At 46.0% G+C, this 11,702-nt stretch overlaps 1 protein-coding gene across 2 annotated transcripts; it reads left to right on the top strand.

The window, feature by feature from the left end:
• Positions 1–2,506: 2,506 nt before the first annotated feature.
• Positions 2,507–11,702, top strand: LYZL6 (lysozyme like 6). 2 transcript variants are annotated; one of them, NM_001199951.3, is made up of 5 exons: positions 2,507–2,653; positions 6,776–7,002; positions 8,304–8,462; positions 9,387–9,465; positions 11,355–11,702. In NM_001199951.3, the coding sequence occupies exons 2-5, from the start codon at positions 6,864–6,866 to the stop codon at positions 11,422–11,424; spliced, it is 447 nt and encodes a 148-aa protein (NP_001186880.1). In that variant the 5' UTR covers positions 2,507–2,653; positions 6,776–6,863; the 3' UTR covers positions 11,425–11,702. The 2 variants fall into 2 exon arrangements, with proteins under 2 accessions (NP_001186880.1, NP_065159.1); NM_020426.4 differs by having other exon boundaries at positions 6,662–7,002.

Here is an 11,702-nt window from a genome sequence, read left to right as displayed (position 1 = left end):
CACCAGTGAGTATTCTCTGGGCAAACAGAAAAAGGGTTAAACAAATCACATTACACATTACTCTAAAATTTGTATCTATGTCTAGCCCTCAGACAAACCATGATGCCTGTTCTTTACATTGGTGGTCACTGAATGCTAGAATTATGAATTTAAAATTAATAAAAATTAATCAAGTTTTCAAAAATCAAAATAAAATGGATTTATTTCAATCATTTTGACGTAAAAATTTGACTAATTCTAATTTGTATGTTGCCTTTTGGTTTAATGGATACTTTTCAATAGTTGAAAAGAAAACTAACTTTTGGGAAAATATTCCTGATAAAATTAAATTTTTTACATAAACATAATTTTGATGAAAATATTAAGATATTTGTACTTTGAATATGATTGTTTTAATCCTTACATGTATTTTCAAATCTTGATAATAATAACATAATTACCGATTTTGCTGAAAGATAAGAAAAATACATTTCATGGAATAGTTTCAGTAATTTATAAATTCCACATCTTTATTACTCATCCCAATATTGTCAGCCCATCAACAGAGCACCCAGACATGCGCAATAAACATGAAATTTCATGATCTTTGACATTTTGCTAACTTTCTGTCATATACAAATCATAGCTTCATATATATTTTAAAATTTTATCCTTTTAAAGGCATATTTGTCAGAGGATGAGGATAGGACATACTTTAACATACATAACATAACATAATCGGCCGGGCGTGGTGGCTCACGCCTGTAATCCTAGCACTTTGGGAGGCCGAGGCAGGCAGATTGCCTGAGCTCAGGAGCTCAAGACCAGCCTGGGCAACAAGGTGAAACCCTGTCGCTACTAAAATACAAAAAAAAATTAGCCAGGCATGGTGGCATGCACCTGTAGTCCCAGCTACTCGGGAGGCTGAGGCAGAATTGCTTGAACCCAGGAGGCAGAGGTTGCAGTGAGCCGAGATCACTCCAGAGTGAGACTCCATCTCTAAAAAAAAAAAAATACAAATCATAGCTTCATACACATTTTAAAATTTTATCCTTTTAAAGGAATATTTGTCAGAGTATGAGGGTAGGACATACTTTAACAGTCTGTTAGTTTAATTTATAACTTGCAAATATTGAGACAGATGGCCTATGGTATCCATCTGTCCTCTTGCCCTGAGCTGACTTGACTCATGGGTCCCAGCTTGGGTTTTCCAGTTGTTTGAATGGGTAGGAATCTACCCATGTTTGCCACAGCTAGGGGGCTGGAGGTGGAGGGTCCCTCTGGACCCCCTTTGAATGACCATAACTTCAGAGCCTATCAAAGAGACTAAATATTCTGCAGCCCAGCAGGAGGTCCCAACCCAGCCTCCAGAGGGAGTGGAAACTTCTGCAAACCAACAGGATTAAACTGAGGCTCATGTGACTTCCTTGGGAGACCATCCTCTCTCAGATCTTAAGTTTCAGAGATCAAATTTCCAAGCATGTGGTCCTTGGCTATGGAAACCTTTCCTCCTGCCCAGGACTCTCACTCTACAGAGACGAGTTCATTCAGGTCATCTGAAGCCCATGTAGATTTTTGGCCACAAATGGTTTCTCATAAAGTGGTGCCCCCAGCATGTTCAGCCTCCCCTCTGCCCCTGCAGGCCTTCTATCCCAGGGTGCCATGCACTGCTGCCCTGCTGGGAAGAGAAGTCTGGAGGGGCACGGGGCAGCACTGCCCACTCAGAAGCCCCTTGTCCTATTTTTCTGTCAGATCCTGCCTCCCTGTTTCAGAGGGAAGAGTGGGCCGTCAGTAACAAGATGTTTTCTCCCTTGCCTCTTTTTTGCTACAGTTGGTAGAAATTTCTCCCAGACTTCCTCGGTGACTAATGATGTTGGGATGTTGTGGCCTTCACAGGGAGGGGACAGGGTGTCAGGTCACCATATCACAGATGGTTGACCCCATGCCGACTACAACTGGCTCTTTTGGCTGCAAGTGACAGAAACCCAACTCAAACTTGTTCTGTGAGTGGGGACATTTATTGAATCTCAGAATTGAAGGGAGGGGAAGGGTGTGTTTGGGTCCCAGAAAGGGTGGACCCTGGGGCTGGAATCCCGTCCAGACTCCGCTCCCTCTTCACGGAGGCTTAGCACCTTAGATGGGCTATGTCCTCTGGCCCTGCACACATGGGCTTCCTGTTGGAAGCTGAGCAGCTCCACCAGCTTCCGTTTACAAATATAGTGACTGGCACACAAGCATTCCTATGCTTATGGGGGGTGGTGGGGGGCAGGACCCCAGGACTGGCAGCCCCCACTAAAACCCCATGAGGGAAGGAGTCCCCCCAAAGGTGGTGCTGTTCCCAAAAATGAAGGAAACAGCCAGTGCTCTCCACCCTATCCCACCCGGCCATTTTCCTCACAGATGTCACCTGTCCTCCCAGGCCCAGCTGCTACTTCTGCCTGATGCTTGGCCAATTTGCCTGGTTAAAACCAGTGTATTTCCAGGAGATGGATGACGTCACAGAACTGGGGTTCCAGAAGCCTTCTTTAGAACATGGAGAGCTGTTAGTTGGGCAGGGCTGAAGTGTATGTGGTGAGGAAGAAGAGGCTCCTACTGTAGACAGCCTTGTTCTACAGATCCTCCCAGAAATCTCTGGGCCAGGTGGAACCCAGGGTCAGAGAGGGATGGGAGAGAGGTAAGCTGTGGAAGGGGTGGGAACATACCTTCTGGAGCCACTGTCTTCCTTGAGGGGACCCTGAGAGGGGGCTTAATGGGCAGGGATGGAGCTTCCTGCTTCCCGAGGCTCAGTGACATCTATCTCTGAGGGACCCTCCTGAGTCAGTGTGGAGTAGGTTGTTTGTCTGAAATTCTAATTTAACAGGGCATCTTGTAAATTTTATTTGCCAAATCTGTCAGCTCTGGGGGTAGAATGATGGGAGAAGCAAAAGAATGGCCCGAAGCTCAGGCTGGTGTGGAACGAGTCTCAGATAGAACAAGAGACAGAAGCAGCCTCATTGTCTGAAGTAAATACCAAGGTTCGTGGTCTCACGTTTAAGGAGATCGAGGTCGCAGACACACACGCACACAGAGTGAGTTTGGAGCAGGAGTTTAATAGGCAAAAGGAAAGAACAGCTCTCTGTCACAGACAGAGGTCCCAGGCAGGTTGCCAGGTGGTAGTAAAAACGTCAGGGTTTTATAAATGGGCTAGAGAGGGGCATTCATGAGGAGGGGATGTCTTATCCTCCTAGAGCCCGATGGTTCAGTTGGGACCAGGTGTGCTATCTGTATAGAGCAGAGTTTTTAATAGGCTCTCACCCCATTCCCGACCACATCAACTTTTAGTCTGTGTCTCTTTGTCTTGCTTATCTGGGAGCGAGAGTTTCTGTGTCTATTCCCACACATCTTGCAGCTGTAGGCATACCCATCGATTCTGCTTTTAGCTTCCCTATCTTAGCGCGCCTAAAGAGAAAGGAATGTAGTTATTAAGGCCCACTGTTTTACTGGGGCCCATTGTATAAGTGTGAAGTTTGGTGATTACCCAGGAGACTTCCCCCATCCTTCTGTGCCTGAGCTCTTATCTGTTTTTACCCTTTGCTCTTTCAGGCTGGTTGTTGTTAGAAGAAAAGTGATTTCCTTGAACTGCGTGAGGTTAGAAAGGGAGCTATCTTTGAGCTGCTTTGCGTTAAAAGGAAAGTTTTCTGCTGGGGATTCACTTTACCCTAACTGTCTACCTAAGTAGTTTCTTTCTGCCTCCTATAACAAGACCAGAGAAGAAACAAGCCCACCAGGGTAGCCATCTTGTCCAAGCAGAAGCCGCCTGACACTTGAAGGCGGCGGGTGGAAGAACTCAGGCTTCTGCCCCCTCAGCAGCATATACCTAAGTTAAGGGGAAAAACACACCTTCCCTCAGTGACAGAAATAGTCCCAGGTTTTCAGATTTATTGGAAGTATTATTTCTTTTTAGTGTAGAGATGAGGTCTTGCTGTTTCCCAGGTTGGTCTCAAACTCCTGGCCTAAGCAATTCTCTCACCTCAGCCTCCCAAAGTGCTCGGATTACAGGCATGAGCCACCATGCCTGGCCAGTCTTTCAGTTTTCATGGCATTGGCCATTTTGAAGAATACAGGCCAGTTATCTTACAGATTTTCAGTGAGTTTGGCTTTGATGTTTCCTCAGGATTAGACATAGCCTATGCATCCCTGGACGGAATATTGCATAAGCGATGTGTCCTCCTTGGGAATCACATCTGGAGGCACACAATGTCCCTCTGTCCGTCTTTGGAGATGTTAATTTTGATTGCAAGGTCAAAATACTGTCTGGTTATCCACTGTATACTGTTTTGTTTTTTCTTTCTGTGCAACTAATAAGCAATCTGTGGGGAGACCCTATAAGATCATGATATATCCAGTTCTTCAGCATTCTTCCCACCACCTCAGATTTAGCATGCAATGATGATTTGTTCTCAAACCAATCTATGATAGTTGCAAAATGGTGATTATTTTTCAACTCCATGACTTCCTCCACACTTATCGGTTGGCCTTTTATTGTCAGGAAGAGGTCTCTGCTTCAGCTCCACACAATGTATCTTTTTGTCAATTTATTATTATTATGGGCTCATGGATTCCTATTGCATTTAATGTATAATCTGTTACTGTCATTTATTCTGATGGTCTAATTGTCCCAGATTGGGTTGGAAACCATTATGCAATGGTTTCTTAGATATGACACCAAAAGCACACCCAACAAAAGGACAAATAGATAACTTGCACATCATCAAAATTAAAAACTTTGGGGCTTCAAAGAACACCACCAAGAAAGTGAAAGGCAACCCACAGAATGGGAAAAAAATATCTGCCATATATCTGATGCTGGTCTAGTATACAGAATATATAAAGAACTCTTCCCACTCAGTAATAAAAAGACAACTCAATTTGAAACTGGCCAAAGGTTCTGAATAGACATTTTCCCAAAGATATACAGTGGCCAATAAGCACATAAAAAGATGATCAACATCCGTAGCCATCTGGGAAACGCAAATTAAAACAACAGGGTGATACCAGTTCATACCCACTAGGATACCTTTTGTCAAGAAGACAGATAATAACAAGTGTTGGTGAGGATGTAGAGAAATTGGAACCTTCATACACTGCTGATGGGAATGCAAAATGGTGCAGCCACTTTGGAAATCTGGTAGGCCTCATAAGCTTAAGCCTAGGGTTACCCCATGACCCAGCAACTCTACTCCAAAGAAATAAAAACATATATCCACACAAAAACTAGTATGTTAATGTTCATAGTAGGATTATTCATGATAGCCAAAAATAGAAACAACCCAAATGTCCATCAACTAATGAATGGATAGACGAAGTATGGTGTATTCATACAATGAAATATTATTCAACCATAGAAAGGAATGAAGTATCATTACATGCTCCAACCTGAATGAAACTTCAAAACATTATGCTAAGTGAAAGAAGCCAGATACAAAATGCCATATTTTCTGTAACTCCGTGTGTATGAAATGTCCAGAAGAGGCAAATCCATAGAGACAGAAAGTAGATTAGTGGTTGCCAGGGGTTGGGAGGTGGGGGATGGGCAGTGACTGCTAAATGGGTGCAGGGTTTTGTTTTGGATTGATGAAAATATTCTAAAATCAAGTGAGGTAGTAGTTGTACAACTCTGCAAACATACTGAAAACCACTGAATTGTACACTTTAACTGAATTAATTGTATGATACATGAATTATATCTCAATAATGCTGTTACCAAAAAACATCGTTTCAGATCTGGCCAGTCGGTGCCCCTTTGAGCTAGCTCTTGTGTCCATTTGACATGCCCCAATACATATTTCGAGCACTTTTTAAATTTCTTGTACAGCAAGATAATCCAGACATCTCATAACCCTTTCCTGCTCCAGCCTGGGAATCAGCCATATTTCCTAGAGTCCTGGTTCCCTTTTGTGTGGAATGTGAACCAAGATCTGGGCATTATTTCATTTAATCATCAAAACAACCCTTTTAGGTAGGTATTAGCATATCTTCATTTTACAAATGAGGCCCAGAAAGGTTGAGTATGTTGCCCAAAGTCACATAGCACCCCAGGATTTGAAAGCAGGCAGTGTGAATCTAGGGCCCTTGCTATTCAACACACACACACGCGCACACACACATACACAATGTGAAAGTGAAGGTTACGTCTACAGCCAGCCCACCAAGAATTGTACCAGGCAGGGTATGCCCTTGGGAAAAATCATGTGTCATGTGTCTGGGGGAGTGGGGTTGTGGGGAGATTAGCACCCAGTGTCCTGGCCCTCTTTCTAAAAGCACATGCTCAGATACACACACACATATGCTGGTGAAGATAGTCTTCAGTAATCTCCTTTGCCAACCTCACTCCCCATCCCAATACCCAAATACTACCCATAGCTGGGTGCCCATATAAGAGGACCTATGGATGAAATGAGATTGGCCAGGTGTGGTGGCTCACACCTGTAATCCCAGCACTTTGGGAGGCTGAGATGGGAGGATCACTTGAGGCCAGGAGTTCAAGACCAGCCTGGTCAACAGAGTGAGACCCCCATCTCTAAAAAATAAAAAAATAAAAAACAAACAACAACAAAGAAAGATTGGCCTTGGTTTTTGAATGTTGAAGCTCAGAAGTGGGTATATGGAGGTTCATGATACTATTCTCTTTCCTTTTTTAAAGGTTTAATTTTCCATGATAAATAAAAATCTATAAAATAATAAACAAGAGAAAAGAGATTGGAAACAGCCAGGTTGGAGCAGTGAGTGAGTAAGGAAACCTGGCTGCCCTCTCCAGATTCCCCAGGCTCTCAGAGAAGATCAGCAGAAAGTCTGCAAGACCCTAAGAACCATCAGCCCTCAGCTGCACCTCCTCCCCTCCAAGGATGACAAAGGCGCTACTCATCTATTTGGTCAGCAGCTTTCTTGCCCTAAATCAGGCCAGCCTCATCAGTCGCTGTGACTTGGCCCAGGTGCTGCAGCTGGAGGACTTGGATGGGTTTGAGGGTTACTCCCTGAGTGACTGTGAGTACCATCCGCCCCTCCCCAGCCATTTCTCCTCTGCTAGTCATGTCCTATATGGCCAGCTTCTTTCTCTCCTGTTCATCTTTCAAAGCCAAGTTCAAAAAGCAGCCCCCTTCAAAAAAGCCTTTCCCAACACGCTGTATTCACTCAAGTTATTGTCTGAGCACTTATTATGTACCAACAACTGTTTTAGGCACTGGGGCTGTAGAGATAAACAAATTCCCTTCCCTTATAATGTTCACATCCTAGGGGAAGAGAGCAGCAACAAACACACTCATAACGTACTGCCTGGTGGTGACCAATGCTATGAAGAAGAATAAAGCAGGGGGAGCAATGGTGAATTCTTTAGATGGGGAAGTCAGGGAAGGCCTCTCTGAGGAGATGACATTAAGCAGCACTGAATTAAATGAAGGACCTGGTCACCCAAATGTCTGGGGGAAGAACACTCTAGGCAGAGGGGACAGCTAGTACAAAGGCTTTCTCCTCCTGCATGGAAGGGATATCTCCCTTTTGCCCAGGAGTTGTGTGCACCTGTCTTGCAACACTTTTGTCCTTTAATCTTGCTTTGTGGGTTTTTTAGGTACCTTTTTTTTTTTTTTTTAGACAGAGTCTCGCTCTGTCACCCAGGCTGGAGTGTAGTGGCGCGATCTTGGCTCACTGCAAGCTCTGCCTCCTGGGTTCACACCATTCTCCTGCCTCAGCCTCCCCAGTAGCTGGAACTACAGGCACCCACCACCATGCCCAGCTAATTTTTGTATTTTTAGTAGAGACAGGGTTTCACCGTGTTAGCCAGGATGGTCTCGATCTCCTGACCTCGTGATCCGCCCGCCTCAGCCTCCCAAAGTGCTGGGATTACAGGCATAAGCCACCGCGCCCGGCATACATATTTTTAAGCTTGTACATATTTTTAAGCTTGTACATACAAGCTTATTACAAGGCCTGTATTACAAGCTTAGGTACATATTTTTAAGCTTGTAATACAGGCCCCTTGAAGGCAGCATCTGTGTTTGACCCAACTGAAATGTCCCTCACTAGGCTTTGCACAGTTCCTGGCACACAGTAGGTGCTCAGTAAGTGCAAAACACATGAATAGATGGACAGATGAGTAATTGTACTTATGAGTGGGTGGATGGACCACAGGATAAGAGGGCAAGTCAATGGAGATTTCAAGCCCTCTAGTCCTATCTTGCCTCCCAGGCCTTGTTCCTTTTGTCTGAAACCTTGCCTCCCTTTCTCCTCCATCTCCCTTCTCACTCAGCTTGGTCCCCTCTAAATCCTGACCTTCTTCTCCCTACTCTAAGGGCTGTGCCTGGCTTTTGTGGAAAGCAAGTTCAACATATCAAAGATAAATGAAAATGCAGACGGAAGCTTTGACTATGGCCTCTTCCAGATCAACAGCCACTACTGGTGCAACGATTATAAGAGTTACTCGGAAAACCTTTGCCACGTAGACTGTCAAGGTCTGGCCAGGGCCCCAGGGTGGGAGAGATGAGAGCAGCAACCAGGCTCTGCTCACAGAACTTCTCTTCCCACCCACAGCCTGGGAATGGCCCCAGAAATATGGTTCAAAAAATCAGGGAATCCCTTTACTGAGCAGAGGGCTGGAGTAGTGTCCCTAATGCCCATCCAGTTAGGAGATTCTATAGAGTCCCTGAGTAGGATCCAGGAAGGCTCCGTATACAGCTGGTAGTAGTAGAACAGTTGCAGCAGCCAATGTTTATTGAGAGAATATTATACACTAAGTGCTTTACATACTTGGCTTATTTCATCCAACTTTCATGCAGTAGAAACCATTTATGATCCCTACTTTACAAAACAGCAAACTGAGGCTCAAAAAGAGAACCAGCATTGAATGCCAGACTAATGGCCTCACAGGCTCTTAACCATTCCGGAGTACCCTCTTTAGCTAATGATCTGACCAAAGACCAAGTGCAAACTCCCTACCTCAGAGCTGATCCAGGAGGCTCGACAGGGCCCATGACTCTGCCCCTCACCTCTGCCTTCGCACACTGACCGATGTCCCTCGGCTCCTCGCCTGAAGACCCCCGCTCACTAGGCGGGACATACCTCTGTGGTGTTTTGGCATTTCCTCTCCCTGGAAACCTCCCACAAACTTTGAGTGAACCACTATCTACCCTGGTTAGGAAGAATAGTAGTGAACAGGCCCAAATCTCAGGCCTCTTGCCCCTTCTGCCCACACCCCCTTTCACCTCGAACCTCTAGCAGCCATTGTAGGGATGTCTAAATGGGCCCCCTGGGAGACAGCCTTTGCCTCAACTGGAAGCCTCTAGGTGGCATAGGGCTGTCCAGGGAGGGCTGGTGTCTGCCTCCATCTTTGGGGCTGTCTTCTGTGCCCTCACAGGTTTTCTCTTCCTCCCTTTCAGATCTGCTGAATCCCAACCTTCTTGCAGGCATCCACTGCGCAAAAAGGATTGTGTCCGGAGCACGGGGGATGAACAACTGGTGAGGAGGACACGGTGGGACTCAGCGGGCAGAGCCCCACGAAGGAGGACGTGACAGAGAAAAGGGCAGTAGGCAAGGACTCACGGGCACGCCCTTGCAGTGTCTAGAAAGATGTGGGATAGCGGACGGGCTTGGAACTCTGAGATCTGGTTCTTCTATGATATTGTATTAAACAAAACTCTTCTGGTTGCAGTAACAGAAAACAACTTGAGCTAGCTGGGGGAAATTTATTCTGAGAGGCCCAGATGTCTCACTGAGCCCACTCAAGGGCTGCAGCTGGGCCTCAGGAAGAGCATGGAACCAGGGCTGGAAATTGTCAGCACACTGTCCATGGCAGGTTTCAGCTTCTCTTGGTGCATTTGCTTCACTTCTCTCTCCGCAGACTTTCTCTGCTCCACAGTCTAAAGGACAAAGGGTGCTGCAAAGTTAATAAGCTAAAGTCCTAAGCAACCATAGGGACTGGCTAGGCTCAGTCCCAGTCCAAGTTCCTGGGATAGAGAATCTGATTGGTTCCACTTGGACCATGTGTGCCCCCTTGGTCCAATCAACTGTAGGGATGGGAGGAGTTAAGCAATACAATTATGGCTGCCGCTCGGGCCCTGTGGCCATAATTGACAATATTTTTTTATTTAAAAATGTGGACCGGGCATGGTGGCTCACGCCTGTAATCCCAGCACCTTGGGAGGCTGAGGCAGGTGGATCACTTGAGGTCAGGAGTTCGAGACCAGCCTGGTCAACATGGTGAAGCCCCGTCTCTGTTAAAAATACAAAAAATTAGCTGGTCATGGTGGCGCCTGCCTGTAGTCCCAGCTACTCAGGAGGCTGAGGCAGAAGAATCGCTTGAACCTGGGAGGTGGAGGCTGCAGTGAGCCGAGATCGCGCCACTGCACTCCAGCCTGGGCGGCAGAATGAGACTCTGTTTAAAAAAAAAAAAAAATGTGGCGGCTGGGCGCAGTGGCTCACTCCTGTAATCCCAGCCCTTTGGGAGGCTGAGGTGGGTGGGTCACAAAGTCAGGAGTTCGAGACCAGCCTGGCCAATATGGTGAAACTTTGTCTCTACTAAAAAATACAAAAATTAGCCAGGCGTTGTGGTGGGTGCCTGTCCCAGGCTGCTTTTTGTGTTATGTGGGGATGAGGCACTGACCCTGTGGGCCGGGATCTCTCTGGGGACCTTTCCCTTGCTTTCTGTCCATGCTCCTTAAGGCAAGCTGCATGGGAGGCTGAGGCAGGAGAATCGCTTGAACCCGGGAGCCAGAGGTTGCAGTGAGCTGAGATCGCGCCACTGCACTCCAGCCTGGGTGACAGAGAAAGAATCCGTCTCAAAAAAAGAAACAAAAAACGACAACAAAAAAATGTGGCATTCATCAGCTGGGCAGACACCCACATAGCTGTGAGCTCACCAACGGTGGACATTCAGATAGTCACCTTTTCTGAGCTTCAAACTAGATATATAAGTAACACAAATGGCTGCCTCTACAGGCAACTGTGGAAGGAGTCAAATCCCCTGCATACTCAAAACACCACAGAAAAGAATTGACAGCGATGATTATGCTGATCCTTTCTGGAGGGAGAATCAATGGTTGTACCTGGGACTTTTTTTTTTTTTTTAATAAGTAACTCTCAGCCCTGTAAAACAGTGCTCACCCCTTCAGGGAGATATGAGGATTTTAAAATGTGGAAACGTTGATCCAGGGAAGCAGGCAAACACCAGAGATGAGAGAGTTTTACAGGATTCGTCAGAGGGGACAGTGGAGGACAGACCAGAGGGCTAGCTAGCAATGACGGGGATTCTGGGCGTTGCTCCATATGCGAGACTCACCAAGAACTGGGTCATGTGTGTGGAAGAGTTACTGAGTGTGAGGCAAGAACCATGTCTTTTTTCTCCGCAGGGTAGAATGGAGGTTGCACTGTTCAGGCCGGCCACTCTTCTACTGGCTGACAGGATGCCGCCTGAGATGAAACAGGGTGCGGGTGCACCGTGGAGTCATTCCAAGACTCCTGTCCTCACTCAGGGATTCTTCATTTCTTCTTCCTACTGCCTCCACTTCATGTTATTTTCTTCCCTTCCCATTTACAACTAAAACTGACCAGAGCCCCAGGAATAAATGGTTTTCTTGGCTTCCTCCTTACTCCCATCTGGACCCAGTCCCCTGGTTCCTGTCTGTTATTTGTAAACTGAGGACCACAATAAAGAAATCTTTATATTTATCGAAATATTAAAGCACTCGCTCTGCAAA

The sequence above is a fragment of the Homo sapiens genome, chromosome 17 (genome assembly GCF_000001405.40).
Source record: "Homo sapiens chromosome 17, GRCh38.p14 Primary Assembly".
NCBI lineage: Eukaryota > Metazoa > Chordata > Mammalia > Primates > Hominidae > Homo > Homo sapiens.
This window is presented reverse-complemented; position numbering and strand designations above follow the sequence as displayed.

What these genes read in the sequence shown, in the direction of transcription:
- LYZL6 (NM_001199951.3), top strand. Translation starts at nt 6,864, where the DNA reads ATGACAAAGGCGCTACTCATCTATTTGGTCAGCAGCTTTCTTGCCCTA. An exon ending in GGGTTACTCCCTGAGTGACT is followed by an intron (nt 7,003 to 8,303) that starts GTGAGTACCATC and finishes CCCTACTCTAAG; the next exon opens with GGCTGTGCCTGGCTTTTGTG. An exon ending in GCACGGGGGATGAACAACTG is followed by an intron (nt 9,466 to 11,354) that starts GTGAGGAGGACA and finishes TTTTCTCCGCAG; the next exon opens with GGTAGAATGGAGGTTGCACT.